At 35.0% G+C, this 14,909-nt stretch overlaps 1 protein-coding gene across 11 annotated transcripts in view; it reads left to right on the top strand.

Annotated features, from left to right (window-relative positions):
* Positions 1-14,909, top strand: part of VAV3 (vav guanine nucleotide exchange factor 3) — a 394,020-nt gene that overhangs the window by 354,232 nt on the left and 24,879 nt on the right. For all 11 annotated transcript variants that reach the window (XR_007063680.1, XM_017000053.2, NM_006113.5 and 8 more), the window contains 4 exons: positions 984-1,018; positions 7,786-7,902; positions 8,465-8,552; positions 14,608-14,737. Coding sequence is in view for 10 of the 11 variants with exons in the window: in XM_017000053.2 (XP_016855542.1) it covers positions 984-1,018; positions 7,786-7,902; positions 8,465-8,552; positions 14,608-14,737 (370 nt within the window). In the remaining variant the exon portion in view is untranslated. The remainder of the gene's footprint in view (positions 1-983; positions 1,019-7,785; positions 7,903-8,464; positions 8,553-14,607; positions 14,738-14,909) is intronic.

Here is a 14,909-nt window from a genome sequence, read left to right as displayed (position 1 = left end):
GTTCTCTGAAATACTATAGTTTTTACTGTTCCAAATGAGGGAACAGTATTTTCAATCACCAAATATAAAAATCCCATTAATAGCATGGAATGCATATATCAGATATTTGGACATGAGACAAACTATCTGTACTCCTATTCGTAGGAATTTTTAAAGTAACCCTCTCTATAGAATGTACTTTATTTCTTATTTTTAACATTAATATACCTGCTTTGTCTTTGTTCATTTTCTATTTGACCATTAGCAGCTACAAGTTTTCTTTCTTTGTTTGAATAGCAAATGCAATATTTTTCCTTGTGCGAAGCTCTATGTGAAACAAATGGAAAAATAAGTATTTTCCATGCCTTTTTTCTGAATAAAAGGTTCTTAGTTGGTAGATTTTTAAATCAGAATTTGGAATTTATTACAAAATAAGAGTCTATATCCAGTGTATATTGTTTATTTTGCATGTTTTCCCAATGTCTTGGAAAAGTAAAGAGCTATTTGGTTTTCTTAATAATGTTTTCACTTTAATTTTCTTTGATAAGATTAAATTGCCTTGATAATAAATAATAAAATATTAAAAATATTAAATACCCACATCCAGTGTATATTTTTTATTTTGCATGTTTTTCCAAGGTCTTGGAAAAGTAAAGTGCTATTCGGTTTTCTTAATAACGTTTTCACTTTAGTTTTCTTTGGTAGGATTAAATTGCCTTGATAATAAATATTAAAAGTTTCCAGTTCATATTCGCCTGCTATCTCTCCTCTTAGAGTTACAGTGGCAGTAAAATGAATGAAAGAATGAATTAAAGTGAAATGAATTATTTTCTACTTATCTGACAGATACTATGATTCACTCTGTATAAAATTACCAATGGATAGTTCCAGGACTGTGCCACTTAGGGTTTTATAGAGCTGAGTCAGCTGAACTGAATTAATGATTGATTTCTAAAAGCTTCCCTTATGTAAACTTAATCTGTTTTTGCTTTTTTATATCCTAGGTGCCCAAACCAGTAGATTATTCTTGCCAACCCTGGTAAGTATTAAAAATGTTTATGTAGCTAGGTTGAAATACCATACCCTTAGCTCCAGGATGCCTTAAATGTGGGGGTAGTAAACCATATTCCATTTCCATTTGTCTCGGCTAAAGGTGTTTTCAGATGTAACAAAACACCATAATGAATTCATGTATTGCTGACCTTTCCATATCTTTATCTGCGAGGGGGGTGTGTGTGCATGCGAGTGCCCAGTGCCCTAGACTGATAATTTAAAGTTTATACCAGCCACAGAAAGGAATGGAACATACGCATATGTATCTTATATTTTACAGATTTAATAAAGCAGAGAGAAAAATATGCTTTCATTGTCTAAAAACTAAAAATTAGCTCAAAAAGGACAGTAGTAGTTTTTTTTTTTATTTTTTATAGTTTTAGAGATGGGGTCTTGCTCTGTCACCCAGGATGGAGTGCAGCGATGCCATCATAACCCATTGCAGCCTTGAACTCCTGGGCTGAAGTGATCCTCCAAAGTGCTGGGATTACAGGTGTGAGCCACTGCTTCTGGTTGACACTAGTAGCTTCTAAAAATAAAATTTACAACATATGAGAGCAACAAAATATAAGGATGGGGCACCCTTACCACTTGGAGGCTGAAAGTATCATTAACAAAACCTAGGAAGTGTAATGGATAGTAATTATTATTTTCTAGATATCTCCAACTATTAAAAAATATATTTAGGATTTAGTATAGTCATGATGTCATAATAACTAATATATACTGAGTATTTACTATATGTGCTTTGTACTGTACATGTTTTGTTTTATTTCTTCAACATTTATATAAGAAAAGTGGTGGTGACTGTTGTTATTTTTTATGGGTGAAGAAACAAAGAAACAGAGCATGCAACTAGTGAGTGGTAAAGCCAGAATTCCAAGTTATGCCATCTGTACATTGCTATACTGCCCCCAAAATGCAGAATGTGAACACATTACTCATTTCTATTTGTTTTCCTGAATTTTGTGTTTGACTTCTCTTAAAAAGACTGAATCTATTTTTAATTTATTGGTATTAAAATACATGCATAGAAATGAGATATCAGAATACATATATAAATATAATATCCTGGGAATATATAGTACTAGTTGGGTTTGCATGTTACCATGTGAGTTATCTGATATTTTTTACATGTTCTGATTATTTTCTGTTCTATAACAAAAGCATGGAAAATGCTGAGTTACTTTTCAAAGTGTAGGAATCCACTGTGCAATGTATGGGACTCTCCTCGGGCCCTCCTCCACCTTCCCTCCTCTGGCAGTCACTCTGCCTTCTGTAGTTACTGTCTACCCTTCCTGATATCCCTCCCTGGGCCTCAGCACTGAGCTTGCTGAAGAAATTGTGGCAGGTTTGTGATAGAACTGGGAATGTGCTTCATTTTTACCTGATTGAAGACAATTTGAAGTCATTAGTGTCTGTGGAATTTTAAACTATAGTCCTGAAAGAAATTTAATTTGAGGTCTAGAGCTGATAGCATTGATAATCAAACTGAAAAACATCAGGAACTGTTAAAAATCTTGAAAGTGTGATGATTAGGTTTCTTCTCTTATACCATTTTTCATGTAACTGGGCATTATAGTTACAAAGGTAATGATTTGAGAGATAAAATGCTAATACCTCAAACTGCATGGATTTTATGAAATAAACTTATTAGGTACCTAAGAACCATTCAGGGCACCCGAAGGTAGGTTTTGTACCCTTAGTTTTAAAATGCACCCTTGCCAATATGTAAAATCCTACTGAAAATATGACCAGTTAGAATAATATTATTCTTATAAAAGCAAGATGTTCAGGCAAAGGGAGAGCCTTGAAAATAGGAAGAAATAAAGATGTAGTAGAATTTTAAATTACTTTTCTTTTTTTCTTGAGCAACCTGGACAATCTATTTAAACTAAGCAGGCAGTTTGATGTGAAATGTCTTCTGCTAGGGAACAAAATGATCAACTCCCCCAGAAAATAGAACCTTCAATTTTAGAAATACTAAACTATTTAGAGAAAATTACTTTGCTTGATGGCATGGTAGTTCTCAAGTCACTGAGAAGTTAAGTATCACCAACTATATTATCTACTCATTATTTCTACATTTAAAAGTAAGTTGTTTGCACAAGGTAAATTTTGTCTCTTGCATACAGAATGAAATAAAATAGAAAATTAAGATGATTGTCTTCAATAATCTATGTTTCGGGGTATCAAAAGATAGGAATGAGATTTGGGACTGCAAACTGGGGAACTATCCTAAAATCTGTATGCAGAACAAGAGATAGATGTCAGGGTCCCTGCCTTTTCCCATGGTAGTCCGGACAAATTGCCCTTTCCTGCAGTGGCAGGAGACACTGGAGTTAGAAGGTATATTATGTGGAAAAGGTGAACCATGTAGGGCCTAGATTTGGAAAGATCAAGCCTAGCAGAGACTGGGGAGATGCCATAGTGAAAACAGAGGGCTCTGTATACTGAGTGATGATGCTCTCCAGTTCTCTTGTGTAGCTCAGTTTCAGCACTGTGACAGCTGGGTCCCATATACACATACTACCCTGTCTTGGTATTCAGACAGGAATTTGGAAGATTTTTGGCCAAAGAAACGAAATAGAGTTAAAAATCTAAAATCCAGACCTTTGGGTGTTTCCCAGCTCAGTCTTCAGGTTCTTGTCAAATGATCAGACTCAGCTGGGCGTGTTGACTCGTGCCTGTAATCCCTGCACTTTGGGAGGCCGAAGTGGGCGGATCATGAGGTCAGGAGTTCAAGACCAGCCTGGAACATAGTGAAACCCCATCTCTACTAAAAATACAAAAAATTAGCTGGGCGTGGTTGTGGGTGCCTGTAATCCTAGCTACTCGGGAGGCTGAGGCAGGAGAATCACTTGAACCCTGGAGGTGGAGGTTGCAGGCAGCCGAGATCACACCACTGCACACCAGCCCGGGTGACAGTGTGAGATTTCATCTTAAAAAAAAAAAAAAGATCAGACTCCTACCCAGTGGACCTATTTTGGTGCTCACACACACAGAGTTTCCAGTCAATTGTGGATGCATCCTTCTTAAGTAACAAACAACAAAGAGTAACCATACATTTGAGGAAACCCTTGAACTAAAAAAAAAAAAAAAAAAAAAAAAAAGAAGAAACCATTGGAGTGAGCAGACACCTTAAAAAAACTTTTATTTACATCTTCAAAATTAAGAGAAAACTTAAGTTCATTGGAAGTAAGCTCAATGTTTTAGAAAACAGTCAAAATAAAAAGGAGCTCTTATAAGTTAAATATTATAGAAGACTTGGGAAATAAAGTTTAGCAAATCTTCCAAAAAGTCAGAGATGGATAATATGAGAGAAGCTATATGGAAGCTAGACTGTTGACCCAGGGGATACAGCATTCAAGTAGCAGGAATTCCAGAAAGAGAAAACCAAGGGCAGCAATTATCAAAGAAATGATACAGAAATTTCTCAGAACCGAAGGACATGTGGCTCCAAATTGAAGATACTTCTGAAAGGCAAGGACAATATAAAAAACACATTATCACGAAATTTTGCAGTATATAGAGAATACAGAAAGAATTTGAAGGTTTCTAGGGAGAAAAAAATCAGGCAACATACAAAGAATTAGAAATGGTATTGAATGGAAATTAGAAGACAATGAATCAATGTATTAATATTTGAGAGGCAAAATAATTTCTCACCTAGAATTCTTTACCCAATAACCAAACTATGAATATTGCAATAATATTCATAGCCAAACTATGAATTACTAGGTAAAATAAAATATTTTCATAGATGTGGGACTTTAGAGTGTTACATCCTGTGTATGTTTAGAAAAAGCTGAAGGATGAGCTAGTAAATCAAGGAAGAGGGAGATATAGAAGCCAGGAAAGGGGAGCAAAGAGAAGTCCCAGGACTACAGTAATTCAACAGGCTTAGTAGAGCAAGCAGTATCAATTAGAAGAGCGTGGAGGGCTCAGAAGAAAAGGCTCCAGAGAAAATTAACAGGTAGATTATGTGGTTGTCTTAATTCAATTAATGCAGCTATAGGTTGAGTATCCCTTATTCAAAATGCTTGGGACCGGAAGTGTTTTGAATTTCAGATTTTTTCAGATTTTGGAATATTTGCATAAACATCATGAGATATATTCAGGATGGAACCCAAGTGTAAACACAAAATTTATTTATGTTTTATATATATCTTATACACAAAGCCTGAAGGTAATTTTATGTAATATTTTAAATTTTGTGCATGAAGCAAAGTTTCGACTGCATTTTGACTATAATCTGCATTTTAGTGGAAACATGCTGACTCTCAGAAAGTTTCAGATTTTGGAGGTTTCTGAATTTCAGATTTTAAGATTAGAGATGCTCAACGTGTATAGTAGAATACCACAGAGATTGGTTAACTTATAAAGAAGATATATTTATTTGTCTCATGGTTCTAAAAGTTGGGCAGTCCAAAATCGAGGGGCTGCATCTGGTGAGGGCCTTCTCATTGCATAATAACATGGCAGGAGATATCACAAAGCGAGGAAGCAGTGGGAGAGACAGAGAGAGAGTAGTGGATGAACTCATTCTTTTTATCAGGAACCTACTCCAAAGATAGCTAACCACTCCTATGATAAGGTCATTAATCCACTCATGAGGGCAGAGCCCCCGTGACCTAATCACTTTTTAAGGATTCTACCTTTCAATACTCTTATAACAATACTTAAATTTCAACATGGGTTTTAAGGGGACATTCAAACCATAGCAATGTTGTTGAAAAATGTATTTTTGGGAGGTATATTTGGAAAGAATCTGTGATAGAGACAGAGAACTTGAACAAACAAAAACATGAGCAATTTTATTTTGGAGGGCAGATATTCTTTGAATGAACACCCTGCCAAAACTAGGCCAGATGACAGCTTGGCTTTGTAGAGGTTACAGAAAGACAAGAGTGAGGAACAGCACTATAAAGGAGTGAGCACAGGTGGCAGGAAGAAGATGGTTTTCCTTCCTTATGTTTAAAATTGATAAGAAATTGTCATATAATTGTTTAGAAATACACAAGTAGAAATAAAAAATAGGTACAGTGTTTGAAAGGGAACTTGGAGTAGAATGCTGGTCTGATGGAATACTGCTGCTTTTTCATTATTATAATGTGAATGGACTTTTAAAACTATATTAATGCATAGCTTTGATAAAAATGCATACACTCAATACTAATTGTGATAAGTGCCACAAAAATAGGAATACTGTAATGAGAATAATGGAGTAGGTAGTACAAGATGCAGGACAACATTCTTTAGATGGTATGGTCAGAGAAGACCCCTCTAAACCTTAACAATGAGAAGGAATATTGTGTTGATAGGGTATGAGTGTTTCCAGACAAGAGTGCAGTCTGTGAGAAGACCCTAAGCGCAAAAGGAGCTTGAGAAACTCCTGGATCTGAAAGAAGGCTGGAGACTAGTGATGAAGGTAGATGTAAGAGATAAGGTTGAAGAGAGGTAGGCATGAGTCAGATTATACTAGGTCCTAGTAGTTCATGAGTTGTTATAACTTTTCTTTTAACGCAAGGTACCATCTGCATAAAATGCCTTTAGTTCCTCTTTTATACTAGATGGAAACCTAACATGTCCTCCATCAACAAACTTTTGCTGAATGCCTGTCATGTGCGTTTTAAATGAATATTAAGTTTGCATTACAGGTGGATGTTTATACAAAGTTACGTGGGTCTATATGTGAATCAGAGGATTTTCGGATACATTAATTATTGACTAGCTTTGAAAGAGAACCAATCTAAACAGAATTTTTCTTTTAAGTTCTATTGACTAAAATCTCTGATGTAACTTGCCAGGAGATTTTACACCTATGTATGATTTGAGGGGTCATTAAAGATTATTTTAAGATTGAATTTTGGCCTTTTATTATTACAGTTATTATGGAGTTTCTGTATGTTTAAGGCCAGCAAAGTCTAGGGAGATTGAATTCTGGTTTTGAAAAATATCAACCACACCGGTGGTATCAACTACTTGGGAGGCTGAGGCACAGGCCTCCCTTGAACCCAGGAGGCGGAGGTTGCAGGCAGCTGGGATGGTGCCATGCACTCCAGCCTGGGCAAGAGAGAGAAGCTCTGTCTCAAAAAAAAAAAAAAAGTTACTAGCATGTTAAATAGACTGCATTGCTTTGGGCTTGCCTGTATTTAGCAAATAAAGAGAATGAGAAATGTTCTTTCTATGCAAAAAAAAAAATCTACCTTTTAAAAGTAAATTTTACTCATTATTACTAATTGCTTAAGAAAATTTATCAAAATTGTGGACGAATGAATTAATCTCATAACAAAAAACTATTTAAAATAACTTATTGCTAGAATTTTCTTTAAAAAGATACTTAAAGGAGATTTCATTTCATAGTATATATAGAAAAGCTAAAATAAATGTGTCTGTGTATCTTATACAGGGCAGTTTCTCCCTACAAGTCTTTTTCCTTCCTGTCCCTAAGCTCCCCACAACTGTCTTTTTACCCAATACCCACTGACTCCTCTGTGTCCCATTTATTTACTAGGTGCTTAGTGGGTATTAGGCATTGTTCATTTTGCTGTTGTTAGTTTTGTAGAGCATTTGTGTTTGGACGTATTAAAGGACCTTTTTCTGATTTATTTTTCTTAAACAATGTAATTAGTATAGAATTACCAACAGCTCAGATCTGCCACTAAATTAAATATTGAGAGATACTTACTTTTAGCCTCTGTTCTCTTCCAGGTATATTATCCAAATTTTCTGTGTCATTGTTTTTTACAGGTATGCTGGAGCAATGGAAAGATTGCAAGCAGAGACCGAACTTATTAATAGGGTAAATAGTACTTACCTTGTGAGGCACAGGACCAAAGAGTCAGGAGAATATGCAATTAGCATTAAGTAAGTAGGACAAGTACTTTTACAGAAATAGATTTCCTGTTTTCATAATTGCATAGACCATCTGACATGTATAACACTGAAGGTGAAAACCAAAGTTCTAATTGAAGGAGAAATAATGCATCTATCCAGACAGTTCATTAATACTTGAAAATATATCTTTGAAAAACAGTAAAAAGTGTTATAGGTTGCTAATTGGCATATTAGATTTCTTTCATAATATTGTGTTTTGGTGGTTTGATGTGTGTATATTTCTAGTAAATACTAACAGTATAAATTTCTAGATTTTTGTCTTATTTTTCTGTATTCTCAAACTGAACTTAATAAATTGTGCATAATGAATAGTCAAATCCAACCTCCCTTCTCACTTCAAATATTGGTTGTATCCTCAACCAATCCAGTAAATATATTTTGTTAATTAGCTGTCACCAGTGTATTGGCATAGGTATATATTTTTGTCTGCAGAATTAATTCCTAAAATGTTATTGGGGCATGCCCTCTGGTAATTATTGATTTCTACTGATTAAAAACACATTTATATTCATAAGTTATTCATTGCCCACAGGTACAATAATGAAGCAAAGCACATCAAGATTTTAACAAGAGATGGCTTTTTTCACATTGCAGAAAATAGAAAATTTAAAAGTTTAATGGTAAGCATTGATTATTTCTTTTCAATCTGGGATCCTTATTTTTCTTTTGTTAGAAAGGTCATTTTAATTCTATAGTTTCTTGGAAATTTTGCTCACTGAAAAGTTATTTAAAGATAATCATATTCTAATTTTGCAACAAAATCCTGAAAATTCTAATTTATAAATCTCTAAGTTTTATATTGCTCGAATCGTAATCTTCATTGTAAATTGTTTGCAGGTTTAGATAGAGTTTTGGTTTGTGTTTAAATGATACAGCAGATTTTAAATATACCTTTCTTTCCTCTTTTTTTCTTCCTTTGCCTCTATGTCCTGATTCAGGCAGAGGACAGTATTTTAAATTATAACACAAAAAGTTGTAATTAGTAAAATATGTCTAACATTTAGGTTCATTTTTTATAAAATGCAATATAAAGTCAAATTGAAAAGATTTTTGTATTTTTTGCTATTTTAAGTGATCTCTACCATGGTTCTCATTCATTACCTTAGATAATTATGCATTAACAAGGTAACATTTTTGCCACTTAACAGTTGATATTTCATAGGAATTGTATATTTAAATGGAAATAGTATATTGTCAAATCACATCAAATGAATAAGGATTATTCCCAGTTTAAAAAAAATAGAACTTATTCATACTTTTGTTAGCATATAAGAATATTTTGTGTATGTCATTTAAACAATGTGTATATATCATCATGTATGCGTTGCTAACAGTAAACTCTAAATTCACATTTCCTTAAGTGGTCTCAAGTATGTTTCTCAAGTTTGGTAGTTTCTGAGATAATGAAGAGTTTGGATATAGGACATAAGATGCATTTGTACTGCTAAGTACCTTGAGTAACATTGGGAAGGACCACTCATTGAATGAACCATCAATCAAATGATACATACTGCATCCTTCCAGAAAACATCTCAAAGCACTTTGCAGATGTTAACATTAAAGTTAAACTGAGTGTAAGGGAGCCTTACAAAATAGGCCAGCTTGAATGCCTTATCCAAAAATGTAGAACTGCTTCAAGGCAGGTGTCAGTGTTTTAAAGAAATTGAAGCATCTTGAGTTGAAAGAAAAATAAGAAAATCTCTATGGATGTAAAGATCATTCCCAGTTCAAAAGCTAAGGATGGGCAGCAAGGTCATGTCCTGGAAAATGTAAACTCTGTCAAATTTGTAACCAAGATCCAGGCATCCTCCCTGCTGGAAGTAACTTACATTCTGTTGAAACAAGCAGGCTGAGCACAGAGAGAATTGGACCAGAGGAGGTTCTTCATAAAATGAAAACTTGGAGGGAGGTGGCAAGTGGATGCACAAATAATGAATGACAGACACAGCTGAGACATGATAAAAGCACGCACAGGGGCTCTCCACATCTCTGCAAGACGTACCAGCTTGAGCTTTCACCTGCAGAACTTCCTTGGATGGTAATGAGGCTGCTCCACAGTGTTATAGTTACTATGGGACTTAAAAAACTGCTGCAGAGCCAAAGATAACTGCCAGCCTTGCAGACTTTGAAAGTAGCAAAAGTAACTCCCATCAGAGGAGACAAGCAAAGAAGATGAAAGGAATCGTCACTGAAAAGGGCCAATGAATTTAGCTTTGTGTCACCTGGGTTCAGCTCAAGGCAGTTCTTCAGAAGCCAAGGTTAGATGTGAAAAGCCAGTAATACCACAGTGACCTGGATTGGTAGACATAGATACATGAGTTCCTATCTGCATGTAAAAGCTGTGATTATAGTGAAAGCAATAGAGACCCAGCATTAAAAAAAAATTGTGCCAGAGAGCCTTAAAAGTTTCTACAATGATATTCTCTGGAAAAATAACTAAAAGTACTTGTCACAGGACTAAAGTAAGCTTTTCTTATATGTTATGTATAAAATCTCAGCAATGCCACTATTAGAGACACGTGCATATGTGTTTTCGTCTCCATATCTGGGCATCTTTTGTAAGGAAGCACGTATCACAGCGTGTTAAAGGGAAGGGACTAAGAATTTTAGCAAAGCAAAATGAAACTAACAAACATTAGCAAAGGATGTAATTATGAAAAGAAAAACAAGGAGCTGGAAAAAAAATCTCAATATCAGAAAAGTGCTTTTATCAAGTTTAGTAAATAACTATAAAAATTGCTGAAGAGGCAGCTGAACTAATCTGAAGCTACCCCTCCATTTTGTTTCTGTTCATTTGTTGAGCAAATTTATATTGAGTCCTTACAATGTGAAATCACTTTCTGGAGAACTCAAAAGGACTTAACCATTCTAAAAAGAAGCTTAAGAATCAGTAAATACGTCTACACCAAGAACCTCACCATAGAGCAGTCCTTGGAACCTAGGCTGGGAAATGCCACATGGATACTTGGTCAGAAGGAATGGCTCATGTTTTAGCAACCTGAACTTCTGGAAGGAGGTAGAAGATGATTAATTGGTGTGAAGGTTTCTCAAAATCAAGATCATACAGACTTCATGGAGTTACCTTTTATCATGTTGGAGTCAAATAACACACTTGTCTATTATAAGTAAGGAGTGATCTGTGGATTTGAGTTGTTTCTTAAGAATAGTTCAGTATCCTCTTGTTATTGGTATTAGTTTACTCTTCTATCTGTGAAACACAATAGGGCCTGGAATTAAATTTAAATCTGGAAAGTGTGTAAAACATAAGCAAACTCCAGAGCTTCTTTTAAATTAACTGGTTTCTCAGTGAGAAGATTGGCCTTAGGTGGTTTTGACCTAACCTTTTTCCCTTGAGTTTCAATAGCTTGGTTAATCAGAATCTTTGTCTTTCTTAGTCATTAAATTCAAATCCTAAATGAATTTCTGTATCCAGATTACAAGGCATTAATTTTGTTCTAATTTTCATGTATGCGAGACAGTCCATGTCCAAATGCTGTTTATAAACCATCTCCATTGCCTGTTTCCTTGGTAATTGGAATGACTGGCTCTCACTCATTATTTTTGAGAGACTTGAATTGTTGACACTGCTGTGTCAGTGTGAGATAAGGAAAGCTTAGCGATTTCTTTTGTTTAGAGTCTTCTTATTTACTTGTTGTACCTGAAGGTCAATGACTGTTAAGGCAGGGGTGGATTAGACTAAAATACAGAAAGCATAAAGGCAAATTGGAAAAGATCCATGGTGACACTATTTAGTTCTACCCAGTTAGAAACATGTAGGAAGATTTACCCTCGTAAGACTGTAAAAATGGAACTAAAATATCTTCCATGCTTAGTGAAGTGATAAAGAGTGTTTTGCAGCTTACTAAGTAAGCCGCATGACCCTAGGCCTTGGAAAACTCATTTTTTCTTCCATAAAATTTGGGGGTGGGCGAGTATTAAATAATCACCAAATCATTTTTCAGTATGATAATTCTATGGTTTCTAGCCAAATTCACATAAATTGTAATTCATAGCAAAAATCATAAAATTCATATTACCTATAACAAAATTACGTTGAAGTTCAAAGCTATGGCTTATAATTCCTTTCAAGTTTGTTTTCACATTTGCTAAAGAAAATAACACATTTTACTCAATTTAAGTAATAAGACTAGGAGAAACTTCGGTATCGTTTGTATCAGTGACATTATGTATACGTGTGTGTGTGTGTGTGTGTGTATTCCAGAGACCTCACAAAATTTTGCTTTATATTTTAAAAAAATGAATAGCAATATTGGTCACTAAGTAGAATTTAATTCTATACCTTGTCTGCGCAAAACATGTTAAAATTCACCAAAATACAAATGCATATTCTGATCATTGAAACCATTTTGGAGATACAAACTTCTACATGGTCTTTTGTTTCTTTTTCTCTTTGCTTTTAAAGGTCGGTCTGATTACAAATTTCTTGCTTCAACAAGGACCCACATTATCTGGGCCCAAGGAAGAAAGGAAGAAATACATATTTTTCAAGTTATAGATATAATATTTGGAAGACCCTAACATTTTAAGTCTAAGAAAACAAAGTTCCTAGTACATCATGAACACATAGCAAAAACTATTTCACTTTTGCCTCCCTGTTTTTTGTGTGTGTGTTTTTTGGTGTTTTGTTTTGTTTTGTTTTGAGACAGAGTTTCGTTCTTGTTGCCCAGGCTGGAGTACAGTGGCAAAGTCTCGGCTCACTGCAACCTCCACCTCCCAGGTTCAAGTGATTGTCCTGCCTCAGCCTCCCAAGTAGCTGGGATCACAGGCACCTGCCACCACACCTGGCTAACTTTTTTGTATTTTTGGTAGAGACAGGGTTTCACCATGTTGGCCACGTTGGTCTCAAACTCCTGGCCTCAGGTGATCCGCCTGCCTCAGCCTCTCAAAGTGCTGGGATTACAGGCATGAACCACCATGCCTGGCTCTTGTTTTTGTATTTACATTTGCTAGGCACTATTTGCTAATAGTATGATACAGTTAAGAGCACAAACTTTGGATAAAGGCGCTAGCTATGTGACTTTGCCTAAGTTCACTCACCTCACTGATATTTGAGCTTCAATGGGAATAAGGCCCATTTCATAATGTTCTTGAGTGAAAGTTATAAGGAGCCATGTAAAGGGCCTGGCACATGGGATAATGGGGTAGCTGTTACAGTTTTTCACATGTATTAGGTACTTTATATATTCTTTGTTATCATCTGTGAAATGGTTTATTAGCCCCATTTTATAGGTGAGATTGAAAAATTGCCATTTCCCTTATCCAATGCTTTAGCCAAACTATGCTGCTTTTAGCTTATGAAAGGTGGTCTTTGTTTATCACCTTTATGTCTGTTTCCAGCCTGCCTGCTCTACCTAAAATGATCTTTCCCTGGTTCCTGGCTATTGTAATTTTACTAGTTCTTCAGTTTAAGCCAAGCTACTTGTATTACAAAACTTTCTGTCACCCTTCCCATTGGATACACAAAACAAAGTTCTCTCTCCTGCCTTTGAACTTTCCCTTCCAAGATGAGAATTCCTCAATGGCAGGAGGCTTATCTTTATAATCTCTGTGACCTCTGAAGCTCCTGGTACAGTGCATTCCACAACATACTCAAGTTTTGTCATAAATAATAAATCATTGATGATTCTCTTTTTCTTCTTTCAGCTGATTTTTGGACTCATTGATTTGTCTGGGGAACTTTGAACATAACCACTGAACAGAGATATTAAGTTGATGGCAGTGGGATTTTTAGAAGAAACAAGTGGTTTTTTTTTCTGTTTTTTTTTTTTTATTTTTTATTTTTAAAAAGGCGCTCCAATAGAAACATTGAATAATTAAGTTAAAAGTGATTTTTCGTTTATTTTCATTTCAGATATTTATAAGAAATTTTATATCTACAGGACTCATTTGATGATAAGATACATTTTTATTGTGAATTATTATTCAGTTTCAGTTTACAGTAGAGAGATTCAGATTTCTGCAGAATCTATGAAACCAACCTGCGAAATTTTCTGAAACGATAGTCTGAAGGATGGCATGTGGTTATTACATTAGGTTTAGATGTATTTAAGACAAATTATTTATAAGAGAAAATTGGAAAGAATTACATTGACCTCTGTGAGTAGCAGATATGCGGAGCTATGACAGGTACTATACTTCATCAGAAACTAAAAACAGTCTCAAGTACCATTTGTGCTTTATCAACTTTTGTTTACCACGAAAAAGCATAAGTTTGTTTTTCTGCCATTTTGAAAGAAAATAAGTGCAGGAAAGTAGAAATTGCTGTATATTCAGCAAGCAGCTGTTCCTTTTATTTTGGTTTAGAAAGGCAAGTATTTCATAAATAAGAACAATAATTACTACTCTGAAACTGAGGTTTAGTATTGTTTCTTTTCATTTGCTACATCTGACTGAAGACAGGATGTTCTCCATCTGTGAATAACAATAGGGGGTAACTCATATTATTAATGGCCTGAGTAACAAGGACAGCTATTAGGTAGGTGTCATGTACATCCAGACAGCAGGGAGAGATTATCATTTGCTTAATCTTCCATATACCTATGGAAAATTTAGCATTAAATTGGTCATCCTTATTGTATTTATGTGCTCAGGAGTTCATGTGTTTGAGAACAAAAGTATCCTTATCAAAAATATGTTGGATTCTTTTTTCCAAAGGAACTTGTGGAGTACTACAAGCATCATTCTCTCAAGGAAGGGTTCAGAACCTTAGATACAACTCTGCAGTTTCCATACAAGGAGCCAGAACATTCAGCTGGACAGAGGGGTAATAGAGCAGGCAACAGCTGTAAGTATTGTAATTGAGAATACAATTTGCTGTCACTTAAAAATTAGGGGCACAATAACATTAAACATCTTCCTTCCAAATTTTAAAATATAACCAATGGATGCGCTAATGCATGAGCAAGGACTTCTTTTCTGGAGTTAAGCAGAGTCAGATGGACCAACAGGCTTGTGAA

Source organism: Homo sapiens, chromosome 1, assembly GCF_000001405.40.
Source record: "Homo sapiens chromosome 1, GRCh38.p14 Primary Assembly".
NCBI classification, from domain to species: Eukaryota; Metazoa; Chordata; class Mammalia; order Primates; family Hominidae; genus Homo; species Homo sapiens.
Note: the sequence above shows the minus strand (reverse complement) of the source record. Positions and strands in the feature narration are given on the sequence as shown.